The sequence below is a fragment of the Homo sapiens genome, chromosome 5, assembly GCF_000001405.40.
Source record: "Homo sapiens chromosome 5, GRCh38.p14 Primary Assembly".
Lineage (NCBI taxonomy): Eukaryota > Metazoa > Chordata > Mammalia > Primates > Hominidae > Homo > Homo sapiens.
Genome location: NC_000005.10, coordinates 93,622,629 through 93,641,192, shown reverse-complemented (window position 1 = coordinate 93,641,192; position 18,564 = coordinate 93,622,629). Strand labels below are relative to the sequence as shown.

The window sequence follows — 18,564 nt, the reverse complement described above, 5'->3', positions numbered from 1 at the left end:
AATCTCCCTCTGTCACCCAGGCTGGAGTGCAGTGGTGCGATCTAGGCTCACTGCAACCTCCACCTCCCGGGTTCAAGTGACTTTCCTGCCTCAGCCTCCCGAGTAGCTGGAATTACAGGCACACACCACCATGCCTGGCTAATTTTTGTATTTTTAGTAGAGATGGGGTTTCACCATGTTGATCAGGCTGGTCTCAAACTCCTGACTTTGTGATCCACCCGCCTCAGCCTGCAAAAGTGCTGGGATTACAGGCGTGAACCACCACACCTGGCATGGGCTTATAATTAAATTTAAAATGTTGCTTAGAGCCAGTATACAAAGCAAAGAAGTAGGAAATAATGTTTTCAACAAATTGTGTAACACATGTAAAATATACTTTACATCCATTATAATATCTCAAACCCCAAGACTGTAAATATTTACAGACCCAGAAGTAAATTTAATTCCAGAAGAGGAAAACTTAATTTCTTGAGCACTAATGATTTTAGCCCATGGGTCATCAGGACAGTGGCCAAATATATATATGTGTGTATATATATGTATATGTATATATATATACACACACATATGTATATAAGTATATATACATATGTATACACACACACACACACACACACATACACACACACACACACACCCCTATAGGAAAAGCACAGTTAGAGTTTTGAAATGTCTATTTAGGATTGAGTTCAGTATCCATGTATCCATAAGGTAAGGATTAAGATTGTAAACTTTTTTTTTTTTGAGACGGAGTCTTGCTCTGTCGCCCAGGCTGGAGTGCAGTGGCATGATCTCGGCTCACTGCGACCTCTGCCTCACGGGTTCAAGCAATTCTCCTGCCTCAGCCTCCCGAGTAGCTGGGATTACAGGCACCCACCACTATGCCCAGCTACTTTTTGTATTTTTAGTAGAGATCAGGTTTCACCACGTTGGCCAGGCTGGTCTCAAATTACTGACCTCAAGTGATCCCCCTGCCTCAGTCTCCCAAAGTGCTGCTGGGATTACAGGCATGAGCCACCACACCTGGCCAATTGCAAACAATTTTCATAACCCCTCCTGGCAATTGTTTAGCCATACCTGGTTCTGTTCAATTTTTTTCATAAATTTTTTTTTTTTTTTTTTTTTTTTGGAGACAGAGTCTCTCACTGTCACCCGGGCTGGAGTCTGGAGTGCAGTGACACGATCTCGGCTCACTGCAACCTCCGTCTCTGCCTCCGCCTCCCGGATTCAAGCCATTCTCTTGGCTCAGCCTCCCTAGTAGCTGGGATTACAGGCGCCCGCCACCATGCCCAGCTAATTTTTGTATTTTTAGTAGAGACGAGGTTTCACCATGTTGGCCAGGCCGGTCTCGAACTCCTGACCTCGTGATTCTCCTGCCTCGGCCTCCCAAAGTGCTGGGATTACAGGTGTGAGCCACCACACCCAGCCCATAAATCAGTTCTTAGTGGGACTTTATATCAGTTTAACTGTACATAAATTCTCTCTATCCTGATACTTTGTTATATTATCCCAGGATTAAGTAGTCAATCCCATCTTACATGTTCTCATATTATTTTCTAAACTAGTCAACAGTAGTAATTTACTACTTCTATAACATATTCATGAATATATTATTTACTTTTAAATCAATGCATTTTTCTATTAATGGAAGATGTATTAGTGATGTAAAGTAAATAAGTTCGGGATCCTTTAAGAATTCTTGCCATGTAGAAGGCAGTTGCATTGTGGGATTTAAAAAAAAAAAAAAGACATTCAGAGAAGAAATGCTTTTGGGGAAAGAACTGGGAGTAAAATAGTGTAGTACCAGACAGAGTGAGAACAACTATAGACTTGGAGGCTAAATGTAACAAAAAATTGTCTATTTCTACATGATCTTAACTAGGATGAGAAGAAATCATAGTGTTAGGAGCGTAACTGATTCTCCAGAAGCTAACAGAATCTGTCATAAAGTGACAGGAACTTTCATGACCAGTAGTCAGCAACCGAAGGACATTACCTGACACAGCTAGGTCTTTTTGAAGTGCATCAATAAGAAATCAATCAAAAAAGAAAATATAGTACCTTGATGCCAGTTTTACGTTGTTCATAATAATTGACTTTATGTGATATTTTATTCATCTCTTTAGTTAATGGTATAAATACATTGGAGACATTTTGTTTATAGTTTAAAGTTTTCTTAAATTTATAATTGGAAGAAATAAAGATGTAAGAATTACAAAGAAAAAAAGTGAAATTATTCATACATGATATGATTGTTTAGGAAATTCAAAATCTACAGATAATTTTTTAGGATGAAAAGGATAATTTAGCAAGGTTGCTGGATACAAAATCAGTACACAAAAATCAAATGCATTTTTTTTTTTGAGACAGAGTTTCACTCTTATTGCCCAGGCTGGAGTGCAATGGTGCAATCTCGGCTCATCGCACCATCTGCCTCCCAGGTTCAAGTGATGTTCCTGCCTCAGCCTCCCTTGTAGCTGGAATTACAGGCATGCACCACCACACCTGGCTAATTTTTTTTTTTTTTGTATTTTTGTATTTTTAGTAGAGACAGGTTTCTCCATGTTGGTCAGGCTGGTCTCGCACTCCCAACCTGAGGTGACCCGCCTGCCTCAGCCTCCCAAAGTGCTGGGATTACAGGCATGAGCCACCGTGCCCAGCCTGCATTTCTATATGCCAACAACAAGTATAATGTTTAAAGATCCATTTATAGTAGCACCAACAAATACGCAGTATTAAAAAGAAAAAAGCTAAAAGACATATGTTCATAGATTTGATCAGTCAACATAATAAAGATGTCAATTTTCCACAAATTGATATATAAGTTTAACAGAATTCCTGTCAAAGTGCCAGCAAGATTTTTTTGTAGATGTAAAATTGTGAAGTCCCAAAGCCTCCCTCACTTCTAACATCAACTGTAAGTTTGGGCATCTCTAAGACCACCTTCAGGTTTGGTAATTTGCCAGCACTCATAGAGCTCACTGAAAACTGTTACATTCAGTTACAGCTTACTACAGTGAAAAGATACCAATTAACATTAGCTAAGGAAGTGTCACATATGGCAATGTTTAGGAAAGTTCCAAGCATGACTTTCCAATTGTCCTCTCTCAGTTGAATCATGGACACCTCTGTCTTCTTCCAGCAACAATGTTTGAGAATATATTTAGAATTCTAAATCTGGGAAGTTCATTGGAGGCTTGGTATCCAGAGTTTTTATTGGGATTCAGTTACTTTGACATGTTAACCACCCACATGGCAAACCTTAGCCTCCAGACCCTCCAAAGGTCAAGCTGATGCAATACAGTCCAAAGGTCGAAATAAAGGAAGCCATTCATATCAGGCAGAACATTCCAAGGGCTAAGAGATTACTCCCCAGGTGCTGAGGGCAAAGGCCAGACCTCTCTTTGGGCAAGGTTAATCCTTTACGGCACAGTGGATATAGACAAAATTATTCTAAATTTCTATGTAAAGGCAAAGGATCTAGAATACTTAAAACAATTTTTAAAAAGAAGAATAAAATATGAAAAATCAGTCTACCTAACTTCAAGACTTATTACTGGCAAAGATACAGAGAAACTGGATTGCTCATAGATTGCTGGAAGGAATATAAAGTGGCACAATGGACCTGGAAATAGTGGGCCAGTTTCTTGAAAAACTAAACATGAACTAAACATGCAACTAACGTACAACCTAGCAATTGCATTATTGCATTTATCCCAGAGAAACGAAGCAATGGAGTTTATCCCAGAGAAATTAAGATTTGTGCTCACACAAAAACCTGTACATGAATGTTTTAGCAGCTTTAGTCATAATAGTCAAAAAAAAAAAAAAAAAAAAACTAAACAACCCAAATGTCCTTCAACAGGAGAATGGTTATGGTTAAACAAGCTGTGGTATATCTATACCATGGAATACTACTGAAAAATAAAAAGAAACAAACTGTTGACACAGAACAACCTAGATAAATCTTCAGAGAATTAAGCTGAATGAAAAAAGCCAATTCCAAAAGTTTACATGGTGTATGATTTCATTTATATAGCATTCTGGAAATGATAAAATTGTAGAAATGGAAAACAGATCAGTAGTTGCCAAGGGTAAGGAGGGGAGCTGGGGGGAAGGAAGTGGGAGTGGCTATAAAATGGCAGTATATGACGAATCTTTGTGGTGATGGAAATGTTCTATATCTTAAATGACATTGTCAGTATCACAATTGTCATATTGCACTGTGGCTGCACAAGATGTTACCATTGGGGAAAATGATAAAAGGAACACAAGACCTCTCAGTTATTTCTTATAACTGCATATGAATCTACACTGTCTCAAAAAGTGTAATCATAAATACATGAATTAATGAATAAATGAGTCTAATATATGAAGTGCAAATCCTCTTTGGATAAAATGATAAAACTTTATTAAGAGGCATTAAAGAAGATCTAAATAAATGGCAAGATATATCATGTGGGTTAATTGGAAAACTCAGTGTGCTATAACAGACTGCTGTATATTCAGGCTGCTGTATATTCAGGCTGCTGTAACAGACTGTGATAGACTAGGTGGGTTATAAACAACAGAAATTTATTTCCTACAGTTCTGAAGTCTGGGAAGTCTCAGACCAGGGAGCCAACAGATTCAATGTCTGATGAGGGCCTGCTTTCTTTTTCATAGACAGTAATCTTTTCACTGTGTCTTCACAGGGAAGAAGGCGGGTGAAGGAGATCTCTGGGGTGACCTTTATAAGGGCAGTAATTCCACTCATGAGGTTTCTACCCTCATATCTTAATCACCTCCCAAAAGCTCCTTCTCCAGATACCACCACATTAGAGATTAGGTTTCAACATATGAATTCTGAGGAGAAACAAACATTCAGTCTATAGCACTCAGTATTTTAAATATATCAATTATCCCCAAATTGGTCTCTGGGCTTTAGAACAATTCCAAATCATTAACTGACTGGGGTAATCTATACTGGCTAGTTTACCACCTACTTCCTTCCTCTTTCTAGTGGCCACAAAGCAAGATATATGCTTTTGAAAGTCTGTCAAAGCAATACAGAATTATGCTGTGCATACAGAAGTTCATATAATGATTTATCCATATATTCAGAATACCAATAGCTTTGTAAATTCACAAGTTTTTACTGTCATTATCTTCTGTAGGCTCCCACTTCCTTAACTTCAAAATGGGAATCATCATCAAATAGTACAAAAGCCAAGTTTCTAAGTTTTTAATAACACTTGTAAGCATAAATTTTATGGTTAATTGTGTTTGTGAAACCTGTTTATACAACAAACATTTATAAACATTTGCAAACATTTATAAAGCCTCAACTATGATTTCTGGGATAAATAATTTGGAAGCCTTCTCCCCAAATGATTTGGCAGTAAAATAAGGTGTATCTCATACATGAAATGACTAGTAAAGCAAAGCAAGTACACGATAAGTTAATATAAACTAGCCGGACGCAGTAGCTCATGCCTGTAATCCCAGCACTTTGGGAGACTGAGGTGGGCAGATCACCTGAGGTCAGGAGCTCGAGACCAGCCTGGCTAACATGGTGAAACCCTGTCTCTACCAAAAATACAAAAATTAGCTAGGTGTGGTGGTACACGCCCGTACTCCCAGCTTCTTGGGAGGCTGAGGCAGGAGGAGGTTGCAGTGAGCCAAGACTGCACCACTGCACTCCAGCCTGGGTAACAGAGCGAGACTCCATCTCACAAAAAAAAAAAAAAAAAACTTTCGTATAAACTGTATAGAAAATACTGAAACCTAAAGGGAGTAGTTGGTATGAGCTAAGGTTAATCAAAGAAGGCTTAGTAGAGGAAGTAAATATTGAAGTGGCTTTTAAAACAATTAGACATACATCTTCTGAAAATTGTTACTATCTCAATGCTTAACTAGTTTGTAAATATTGACTATATTAAGGCAAAATGTCAACAGTGTTACTTTACAATGAAGGAACTTGGGGCCCTACAAAGCTCCTTGCTGAATGTGTTGAGAATATCAGAATCAGAAACTTGTACTTAGGGAAATAACTCTTTTATGGTTCTTTGCATTTTGTTGTTTAGTGCTATGTTACTTTGCAATCTTTTGGTAAAGTTACTTTTGAAAATGACAAAGAAGGCCAGGTGCGGTGGCTCATGCCTGTAATCCCAGCACTTTGGGAGGCCAGAACGGGCGGATCACCTGAGGTCAGGAGTTCGAGAGCAGCCTGGCCAACATGGTGAAACCCCATCTCTACTAAAAATACAAAATTAGCCGGGCGTGGTGGCACGCACCTGTAATCCCAGCTACTCGGGAGGCTGATACAGGAGAAACACTTGAACCCAGGATGTGGGGTTGCAGTGAGCCAAGATCACGCCCTTGCACTCCAGCCTGGGCAACAAGAGCAAAACTCCATCTCAAAAAAAAAAGAGAAAATGAGAAAGGAAAAGAGTCTCAGTTTTATATTTGATATATTTCCATCTGCATTTAAAGTTCGGCCAAGTCAGCTACATCTTGGGAATACAAGCTCATGAACACTTAAAGTTTGACTTTCTGTGAGTTCTCAGTGCTAGCACTAAAACTCTTTGATGCTAGTAAATTGTATTTACTAATAAGCACAACATTTTAGCTAAAGAGATCTGGAGGATCTTTGAGTATCTGTCAGTGTTTATCAATTAGTCGCTATGGACTATGGCCACCTGAGTCCACCTCATCAGTTTGTTGGAGAAGGCAAGAAATATACTCTGCTTTCTTCAGCTTGTCTTTTTTTCTCCTGTGGTTTTTGTTTTTTGTTTTTTGTTTTTTGTTTTTTTTTGAGACAGTGTCTCACTCTCACCAGGCTGGAGTGCCATGGCGCGATCTCGGCTCACTGCAACCTCCGCCTCCTGGGTTCCAGCGATTCTCCCCCCTCAGCCTCCCAAGTAGCTGGGACTACGGGCCCGCACCACCACGCCCAGCTAATTTTTGTATTTTTAGTAGAGACGGGGTTTCAGGTGTTGGCCAGGATGGTCTCGATCTCTTGACCTCGTGATCCGCCCGCCTCAGCTTCCCAAAGTCCTGGGATTACAGGCATGAGCCACGGCGCCCGGCCAGGAATTTCTTTCTTAACTCTGAGAGCTAGCATACACTTCAATATAAGGTAGATTTGCGACCAAGCCCAGTGGTTCACGACTGTAATCCCAGCACTTTGGGAGGCTGAGGCAGGCAGATCGCTTGAGCCCAGGAGTTCAAGACCAGCCTGGGCAGCATGGCGAAACCCCATCTCTACAATCCTACTACTCGGGAGGCTGAGGTAAGATGATTTCTTGAGCCTTGGAGGCAGAGGCTGCAGTGAGCCATGATTGCACCCCTGTACTCCAGCCTGGGTGACAGACCAATACCTTGTCTCAGATATATATAGACAGGGTAGATTTGTCAATCTATGTTGAAGATGAGTAAAGTCTGACCCCTACCTTCAAAAACTTTATTATAGTAATCTCATCTCTGACTGGATTTTAGAATCGAAAGAAACACAGGTATGTATTCCTTGCGATTTGCTTTTGTCAGTGTGGGCCTGGGCATTGCTATATAATTTTAAAGACACATAAGCTAATACAGAAATGTAAGACAGAATATGTTGAGTAGATGTTTAATAAAGAATTTGAAAAGGCTTAAGGAATGTCAATGGAACTGGACCTGACAGGATAGGGGATACTTATACAAGCAGAGTTGAGGTTATGATAAACCTAGAAAAGGAGGCTGGAGCCAGAGAATAGAAGGCCTTAAGCCTAATTAAGGAATTTCTACCTAATTTTATATAATGAGGAGCCATTGGATATTTTGAAGCATAGGAAGAGGTATGTGACACAAATGACACCTTAGAATTTTTCACTTGGTAGCAGGACACAAGATCAAAGGGGAGAGACTGAAGACTGAAAGTAAAATCAGTTAGGAGGGATTTCTGAACTCTAAATGATCTACCATTAAATCTAGATCACTGTGGATTGCAGAGGGAATGGAAAGGAAGAAAAAAACTTTCATGAGGTTTAATTGTCAGAATTTATTAACTGATTGGATCAGGAGGCAGCAAATGAGAGAGAAAAATCAAAGATGACTCAGGCTGTGAGGTAGAGTAGCTAAGAGAATGCTGTGACCATCTGTAGAAGTGAAGAACTCAGTAGAAGAGCCTGCCTGGAGGGTAGGCCCACCAGTCACCTCTGGACTGATTGCAGAAATGGAATATTATGACAGTGTATTCCCCATCCCAATACCTTACCACCACACACAACGGTCCTAAGGGCTGAGAAACCAGAGGTATCAGAGTATATGACAGAAGCAGAATTGTTAGCAAAATGTTATTTCTAGTTCAACTCCATTTTTTAATTCACTACCTTCAAATATTGTTTTACTAGGCTTTCTTTCAACTCCTACTTCATATTACTATTGCTACAGATTGATTTTATTCCTTATATGTGAATTAGCAGTAACTGAATTTTTGTACTCTGAGCCGTGTAAAGGAGAGTCCCAGAGAATGCTCTAGAGGCAGGATGAATTGGTAAGTGCAGTCAGGAAGGGTTAAATTCATCCTTCTCACTCCCCATAACTCATTCTCTACATACCAGCCAGTGTACTCTTAAAATGCTAGTCCGTTTATATTTCTCCCCTGATTAAAACCCTGTAAACAGATCTTCCAATGAACTTGGAATAAAACCCTTCAGTATGACTTGCAAGATTTCACATGGCCTGGAGAATGCACATCTCCCTGAATCATCTGACACCACTTTCCCCTCACACACCATGTTCCAGTCCCACTAACCCTTTGAGTTCCTCAACGATGACAACTTCTTTCCTCCTTAGAGCCCCGGCACTTGTTCTTCCACAACTCTGCCTAAAGCACTCTGCCCACAGACTTTCACCTGGCTCCTTGTTGCCACTCAGGTCTCAAGTCAAAAGTGTTCTTCACCCAGTTGAAACCGATGGCCTTCTTTCTCCTTCCCACCTCATCCTCCCCTTCATTCTCTTCACATCCCCTATTGGGTTTTCTTCTTAGTACTTCTAACTCTCTGAAGTTTGCACGTTCATTGGTTTACTTTTTATTTGTTGTCATTTTCCCCTATCAAGTGTGCAGAGCCCTTATATTCTCTGCTCACCACTGCACCCCCAGTACCAAGAAACAGTGCCTGGCATACAATGAATGCATGTACGAATTAGTCAATCACAGGAATTCTGAGAAAACTCTCTCTCCACACAATATATCCTTTATAATAGAATTCACAATTGAGAAAGGAGGAGGGCCACAGATTTGGATATTTGAACTAGTAAATTCACATTTGTTTTGTTTTGCTTTGAAATAAGGAGAGCATTTTGCAATTCATTCTGTCTCATTCTTCCCTGCGCTAGCTTCTCTCTCCCCCCTCCCCTCTCCCCCTCTCCCTATCCCCCTCCCCCCTCTCTGTCTTGTCTCTCAAACTGGCAGCCATAGGTACCCAGCTAAGCAGTGAGGGGAAGCTGGGAGGAAAAGCCTGACAAGATATCTGTAAAGTTCTACCAGCCCTTTTCAACAGTGTTATTTTACAATGAAGCAACTTGGGGCCCAGTAAAGCTCTTTGCTAAGTGTGTTGGGACTATTAGAATCAGAAACTTGTTCTTAGGGAAGTAACTACTTTGTGATTCTTTGCTTGTGATTCCCTTGTTTACTTCTGTGCTAACTTAAAATCCTTTAGTAAAGTTACTTTTGAAAATGACAAAGGGAAACTGGAAAGGGAGGCTTTTGCCCAGGCTTGAGCTGAAGTTTTAATGGGAAACAGTGTAACCCTGGAGGCAAGACCTTGTGGCAACAGTGAGAGTAGTATGTGAGATAAGACAAGAGTTAAAACCAAACAAAACATTTCTATAACAGCTGTCTATATTTTATAGGCAATCGAAGTAACAAAAATGCATACATTTTTTATTGTCTAGGAGAAGGTTGATTAGAGAAGCCAGCCAAGGTTGAAAGTCAGAGACCCACAGCAAGGCAGGCTGTCTACTGCACCTCAAGGATAAATTTACGGCCTGGCATGGTGGCTCATGCCTGTAATCCCAACACTTTGGGAGGTTGAGGTGGGTGGATCGCCTGAGCTCAGGAGTTCGAGACCAGCCTGACCAACATGGAGAAACCCTGTCTCTACTAAAAATAGAAAAATTAGCCAGGTGCACGCCTGTAGTCCCAACTGCTTGGGAGGCTGAGGCAGGAGGATTGCTTGGACCTCGGAGGTCAAGGCTGCAGTGAGCTAAGATCACACCATTGCACTCCAGCCTGGGTGACAAAGCAAGACGACCCTGTCTTAAAGGAAAAAAAAGGAATAAGTTTACTTCCCAAAGTTATTTCCCTGGGCTCAAACGATTCTCTCACCTCAGCCTCCAAGTAGTTGGGACTACAGGTGCATGCCATCGCGCCTGGCTAATTTTTTTGTATTTTTGGTAGAGAGGGCATTTTGTGATGTTGCCCAGCCTGGCCTCCAACTCCTGAGTTCAGGAGATTCACCCCACCTCAGCCTCTCAAAGTGCTGAGATAAAAGGCCCCGCACCCGTCTTCCCTGAATCTTAAACTGCCCCAAGTTCCACTGCGCCCCCACTACGCCCTCTTGTACCACCCCCACGCTTCGCCAGATGAGAGTTACTTGGCAGAAAAGGAGCTAGAGGAAAGGATAGGTTGTGCCAGAAGCCACAAATGATGCAAAGTGTCTGCTGCTGATTTTGTGTCTTTCTTTTAGCCTATTATCTCTGGTCAAACTTGACTTCTTGCCTTTACAGTCTCAATACAATCTCAACTTTAAAGGGCTTGCAACTGTGTTAGCAATGGAAAGAGAACTTGCTTGTATCTTATGCAGGTAATTCAACAAGGCATTGTAACATGTTTTCTGAGCTGCACTTGGCATTTTCCTTACACAATCTCCGTGCACACCCCATCACGCCCCATTCACTACTCCCAGTGTGGCCGGCTCATACTTGTCCCTTCTAACTGGGAGGATTTCCAATAGAAGCCCTTCTTTGTGCAAATATTAGTAACTGTATATTTCATTTTTTCAAAAAGGATATTGTTCTTAGAAGCTCTAGAATTCATTTTTAAATGAATTTTAGTAGTTATATTTTATTTCTTTTTAGAAGGCACATTATTTTTCAGTGTTCTGATATTTCTCTGATTCTTTATAGCTTTCTAAAAATAACTGCTGGTAAGCTCGTAAGTTCATTAGTTAATCCCAATGGGACTCAATAACGCATATTACAGATCTCCTGATTGTTATATATTAGATTTTCTCAAGAATTCCCTTACCTGTTATTATCAACATAGCTATATTGACAGGGTCTTCATTACTTCCTAATTGCCCATACTCCTTTTTCTTGTTAAAGATCAATTTTTAAAATCAAGCCTTGTCATTTTGGAAATATCATAGACATATTATCCTGTTAATATTAATGTGTTTCATATCTTTCTAGTTTCCTGCCTCCTTTATCATAGTAATTTACAAAGTTTATTCATTACCTTTTTCTTTAAAAATGTATTATTTTGTGGGGGGCAGGGTGAGAGGGTAGGGGCACATGTTTGGGTTTTTTCTCCCTGGAACAAAGATATAAAAGATGATCTTTCATATTCAAAGGTGAACAATTGATATTCCCTATTCTAAGCCAGACCCTAGGAAGTAAATTATGTGTAGATTGTTAAAATTACAGGCATACCTTGTTTTATTGAGCTTCACGTTATCACACTTTGCAGATATTGCATTGTTTACAAATTGAAGATTTGCAGCAACCCTGTGTCAAGCAAGCCTGTTACCGCCCTTTCAAAAAAAAAATCAGCATGTGCTTACTTTGTGTCTCTATGTCACATTTTTTTCAATTCTTGCACTATTTCAGACCTTTTCTTTATTTTTATATCTGTTATGATTATGTGATCTTTGATGTTAATATTATAACTATTTTGGGGCACTAAGAATCATGCCCATAGAAGATGGCAAAGTTAATTGATAATTGTAGTGTATACTCTGACTACTCGTTGGATTGGCCATTCCGCCGTCTCTTACCCTCTCCTCAGGCCTCCCTATTCCTTGAGACACAATATTGAAATTAGGCCAATTAATAACCCTACAATGGCCTCTAAGTGTTCAAGTGAAAGGAAGAGTCTCACATCTCTCACTTTCCATCTAAAGATCAAAATGATTAAGCTTAGTGAGGAAGGCGTGTCAAAAGCCAAGACAGGCTGAAAGCTAGGCCTCTTGCAAAACAGTTAGCCAAGTTGTGAATGCAATGAAAAAGTATTTGAAGGAAATTAAAAGTGCTACTCCAGTGAACACATGAATGATAAGAAAGCAAAACAATCTTATTGCTGATCTGCAGAAAGTTTGAGTAGTCTGGATAGAAGATCAAACAAGCCATAACATTCCATTAGGCCAGAGCTTAATCCAGACCAAGACCCTAACTTTCTTCAATTCTGTGAAGGCTGAGAGAGATGAAGAAGCTGCAGAAGAAAAGTTGGAAACTTCAGAAGAGGTTGGTTCATGAGATTTAAGGAAAGAAGCCATCTCCAGAACATAAAAGCGCAAGGTGAAGCAGCAAGTACTGCTGTATAAGATATAGCAAGTTATCCAGAAGATCTAGCTAAGACCATTGATGAAGGTGGCTACACTAAATAACAGATTTTCAATGTAGATAAAACAGTCATCTATTGGAAGAAGATGCCATCTAGGACTTTCACAGCTAGAGAGGATAAGTCAATGCCTGGCTTCAAAGCTTCAAAGGACAGGGTAACTCTCTTGTTAGGGGCTAATGAAGCTGATGACTTTAAGTTGAAGCCAATACTCATTTACCACTTTAAAAAATCCTAGGGCCTTAAAAATTATGCTGCATCGGCTGGGCACTGTGGCTCATGCCTGTAATCCCAGCACTTTGGGAGGCCGAGATGGGAGGATCATGAAGTCAAGAGATCGAGACCATCTTGGTCAACATGGTGAAACCCCATCTCTACTAAAAATACAAAAATTAGCCGGGCGTGGTGGCACGTGCCTGTGGTCCCAGCTGCCCAGGAGGCTGAGGCAGGAGAATCACTTGAACCTGGGAGGCGGAGGTTGCAGTGAGCCAAGATCACACCAGCCTGGGTGACAGAGCAAGACTCCATCTCAAAAAAAAAAAAAAAAAAAAAAAAAATTATGCTACATCTACTGTGCCTGCACTCTATGAGTGGAACAACAGAGTCTGGATGACAGCACATTTGTTTACAGCATAGGTTAGTGAATACTGTAAGCCCACTGTTGAGACCTACTGCTCAGAAAAAAAAAAGAATTCTTTCAAAATATTATCACTCCTTGACAGTACACTTGGTTACCCAAGAGTTCTGATGGAGATGTATAAGAAAATTCATGTTGTTTTCATTCCTGCTAACACAACATTCGTTCTGCAGCCCATGGACCAAGGAGTAGTTTCAACTTTCAAGTCTCATTATTTAAGAAATACATTTTGTGGCTGGGCATGGTGGCTCATGCTTGTAATCCCACCACTTTGGGAAGCCAAAGCGGGCAGATCACGAGGTCAGGAGTTCAAGACCAGCCTGACCAACATGGTGAAACCCTGTCTCTAAAAACACAAAAATTAGCTGGGCGTGGTGGTGCGCACCTGTAATCCCAGCTACTCAGGAAGCTGAGGCAGGAGAATGGCTTGAACCTGGGAGGTGGAGGTTGCAGTGAGCCAAGATCATGCCACTGCACTCCAGCAGTAGGTGACAGAGTGAGACTCCATCTCAAAAAAAAAAAAAAAAAACAAAACACATTTTGTAAGGCTGTAGGTGCCAGAGATAGTGATTCCTCTGATGGATCTGGGTACAGTCAATTGAGAGAGCCTTCTGGAAAAGATTCACCATTCTAGCTTCTATTAAGAACATTTGTGATTCATGGGAGGAGGTCAGAATATCAATAAGAACAAGAGTTTGGAAGAAGTTGATTCCAGCACTCATGGATGAACGTCTTTGAGGGATTCAAGATTCAGTAAAGGAAGTAAACTGCAGATGTGGTAGAAATAGCAAAAGAACCAGAATTAGAAGTGGAGCCTGAAGATGTGGCTGAATTGCTGCAATCTCATGATAAAACATTAAGAGATGAGGAGTTATTTCTTATGGATGAGCAAAGAATGTGGTTTCTTGAGATGGAATGTATTCCTGGTGAAGGTGCTGTAAACATTGTTGAAATGACAACAAAGAATTTTGAATATTGCATAAACTTAGTTGATAAAACAGTGGCAAGGTTTGAAAGGATTGACTAATTTTGAAAGAAGTTCTACTGTGGGTAAAATGCTGTCAAACAACATTACATGCTACAGAGAAATCTTTCAGGAAAGGAAGGGTCAATCAATGCAGCAAACTACATCATTGTCTTATTTTAAGAAATTACCACAACCACCTTGATCTTTAGCAATCATCACTCTGATCGGTCAGCAGCCATCAACGTGGAGGCAAGACCCTCCACCAGCAAAATAGTTGCAACTTGCTAAAAACTCAGATGATTATTAGCATTTTTAGCAATAAAGCATGTTTTAATTAAGGTACTTACAATGTCTTTTTAGACATAATGCTTTTGCACACTTAGTAGACTGGAGCATAGTGTAAACATAACTTTTATATCCACTGTGAAACCAAAAAAAAGTGTGATTCACCTAATTACACTATTCACTTCATTGGGGTGGTCTGTAACCAAACCCACGATATCTTCAAGGTATGCCTGTATTCCATGACCTTTTGGTCTAGGACCATGTAAGATAAAGTGACTAACAATAATTATAAGAGTGAATGGCAGATGAAGAAATTCTTTTAAATTATCTTTTTGGTGATAAGTTACTCTACAACTCAGATTGTTCTTCAGTCTTTTTACTGTTTACCAGTAAACCTTATCTCTGGAAAATCTGATTAGTATGTGTGTATGCATGTGTGTGTGTGATATCATTTGAAGAATGATTATTTGCTTTACCAGAAAATTATTCACTTTATTAAGGGATTCATTGAAAAGGTAAATAACCCATGTCTTCATTTAAAAATAGATTTCATTAACAGAAATTATATTCCCATATAACTTAAGACATCTACTGCATAAAATGACATATAGCTTCAAAATAATATACATCTGCCAAAGTAAACATCAGGATTTTGGCTGCTAATTCAGTAGCATACTTTGATTACTTTTTGCCCCTGCCCCCGCAAAAATACTTCTAAACACTAAGATCAAGTAAAGAGGAGTGTGGGCAGGGTTGATGTATAAGAAACACTTGAATCAGAGTCATTCACAGGCAGAAGTAAGGGGAATAGATAAGACAGAAGATGCAGTAATGTTTTCATCTCTCTTATCCTATTCTTTGCTATTCCACCCTCAGTGCTGTTTTTAACCATTTTTTCTAAATGCTATTACATGAATGTAGCCTCCCTCTTTGTCAGTTCTATTACAAGGCACTTTTTCTTAAATATGTAGTCTTTTGGGAAAACAAATGACACATTTTAGCAATTTGATCTTTCTCATATGATTTATAGTCTCATTCTTGATTCTTAGAGTTTCTAATCTTTTTCACCACTTTTGCTATTTTCACTCCTTTAAAATTTGCTACAGTTCATTTTTTAAAACAAGTGATAAGTCAAGGATATTCAGGGTAGTATTTTCATTGGACGATCCCCTGCCTTTTAGTCACTTCACAATGAATAACATCATTGACAAATGGCATTTGTGGAAGAAACATAAGAAAAATGAAAAATAGGTATTTTCTGCTCTGTACAAGGATAAGAGAGATAGCTAGAGTAGGGTTCAGATTATTGGAAGAATTAATCTCTAATATAGTAAGAAATAATTATTCATTTTTATTTAAGCTGACCTTTGATTAGCTACTATTATAACAAATATTATGCCGTGCTTTTACTGTCCTGAAATAAATTCTACAGATAACATAATCTACCTACTTACGAGATTGTTAATCTTTGTAATGCTCTAGTTAACATGTAGAAGGAATAAAAGTAATTCATAATAAAATAATATGGATTTCAATATTTAAAGTGCTCAGGCAAACCTACATGAGAAGACATAATAAAGTAGTCAGATACTTGGTCCTATGCATGGAATCATCATGAATTTGACAGCTACAGATGCGGGCTGATACAGGTATGCTTATTGGCACCTCAAGTACCATGGGCATGGTGCCATCAGTTATGATATTTTTTTCATAGGGTAAACCACTCTTGGTAAGACTCTGAAAAACATAAAATGCATGACCCTTTCGATTTACACGGTAGTTGTATTCCTGGAAAATTCAGTATATATTAAAATCATGCAAAAAGTATTTTAAGATTATCTGTAAAACATATTTAAATTCTAATCCATATAATTATAAACAGGTTTTCAACTACATGAATAGCTGCTGAACATTTGAAAATCATGTGGGATGCAGAACAATTCTGTACTGCCTTGCAAATTACAGGATATCCACTATCCCTGTCCTTCTCCCAATAAATACCAATAACACCTTCCAATCATCTTGACCATCGAAAATATCCCTGCAAATTTCCAAAATGCCTCCAGAGGCCATTATCATCTCCATTAAGAACCACTGATTGAAACTGAGCAAAGGTATTTTTTTGTAATGAAGTGCTGTGATCCTTTACATTTTACTTTTATACTGAATTGATGTTATAGACTAGGAAACTGAATTCACTCCAAAGGTGAATTATCCAGTTAGACCAAGCCTGCCACTCCTAAATGATACCAAAATCATTCCTTGAGAACTTGGCAGATATTTAATGTGGAAAAACATTTTACTCCTTATATTTTGTGAAACTCTCTAAATTAGGAAAATTATTGGTTTGAAAAGTAGAGACTTCTGATAAGGGTAAAGTGGTGGTAGTGAAAAGACTAGACCTTAACCATAAAACCATGTTTTTCCCCTTCAAATGACAAGGTTAGTGCTAAATAAACTAGTTTCCCTGTGATTTCTACATCATTGCATTTTATTAATAAATGGCTGCTTTTTTGATTGACCTAAACTTCTACCTTTTATATCCTTTTATGAACAAATAATGTAATGGTCTAGTGTTTCTGTACTGATGTAATAAAAAGCATCCCACTTAATGTCCCCTAAAGTGATGTATTTTTTAAGTACTAGAAACCTGCTCTCAAAAGTTTCCATTCACTGAACATTGTCATGGATAGAGTTTCATATTCATCTGTAAATATTTTCACTGAACTTTGGACCTAAATTTTTGAAAATGGTCTCCAAACATATTCTTGAAATGTATATATGCAGTCCAAGTTAGACATGTAATTATTCAACTTCTGAATGGTATTCTAAAAATCATTTAAAATCTACTTCCAAAAATTTAGAAAAGACATTTTTATATTACATATTCATGTTATCATTCCTTAGTTTAGGGAGAATTCTCTCCCTTCCACCCCATTCTCTGTAATTCAGTTGCTAACCTACCTTATTACCTTTACTCCTAGCAATTTCCCTTCGTCTGACAGAAGCACACATTCTCATTATTTATACTCTTAAATTACAAGAGTAAATGTTGAGAGCCAGTACAAGTATTCAGTTATCTCAGGGACTCTGGTCTTTTCAGTCCAGGACTAATCAAGCAGAGAGTCATCAAAAGCTAAAACTAAAAAGCTTTTGTAGTGATTTTATCACCAGGGAAATCTGTTCATCCTTCAGAAGGATTGTTACCCGTAAAGAAGAAATAAAGGAGTTAAAATTGCTTCAGACCGTTGACTCCTTAGGTCCCTCTAGATTCATAGATTGAATTGGTTTCAAGGGGTGGGAGGAATTATGAGGGGAATTCCCTGAGAAAGCTTACAAATTGATCATAGCCTTAGTAACACTAGTAGGTGTAAGTGTGATCACTATGGAGGAAATGCCAAATGTGGCTGTAAGCTTGGGAAATGGTTACGAAAAGAGACAATTAACACCTTTTTTTTTTTTTTTGGCTTATTGTATTTGGGGGTGGGTGTTGCCACGTAGTATGCATCTGAGAATGGTCTTTCAAAATGAATTACAATTGATTTTAAAATGTCCTACCATTATAAGTGCAACTGTGTAGTTATTACTGAAGTGAAACTAGGGTTGCAAACACTATAGAATAGAGACACACATTTGATAACCCTATCCAGAAACTGGTCCTCCTAGATCTACCCGCAAATATCATTTAAAGCAGGTATGTCTGAGCATATGTAGAACTGCTCAGTTAGGTTTGGAAAATATAAATGCCTCCAAATTCAAAAGAATCCTTTAAGATTGTCATTTGAATAAATCAGTAAAAATATAATAATATCTAGATGTTATGTATTATAACACCTATTGATGCAAGCAGGCATATATATATAATTTTCCCCCAAGAATTCTATGAAGAATTGTCAAAATCCACCTAGCACTTTAGGATTTAACAAGATAAACCTACACTCATCCCTCCTTCCTATTGAGTAACAATGAATTTTGCCCAAAATGAGTAAGCAAATAAAATGACCTCATTTTTAGTCTGAGTTGGGGGATATGACTTTAATACTGGGTCTTAGTTTCAAATTCAAGTTCATGAGGCCAGTCTGCAGAGGAAAG

General features: G+C 38.8%; 1 protein-coding gene and 1 long non-coding RNA gene across 20 annotated transcripts in view; one reads left to right on the top strand and one right to left on the bottom strand.

The window, feature by feature from the left end:
* Nucleotides 1-18,564, top strand: part of ARB2A (ARB2 cotranscriptional regulator A) — a 493,975-nt gene that overhangs the window by 470,507 nt on the left and 4,904 nt on the right. The window lies entirely within an intron of this gene.
* Nucleotides 1-18,564, bottom strand: part of LOC124901028 (uncharacterized) — a 53,162-nt gene that overhangs the window by 33,651 nt on the left and 947 nt on the right. The window lies entirely within an intron of this gene.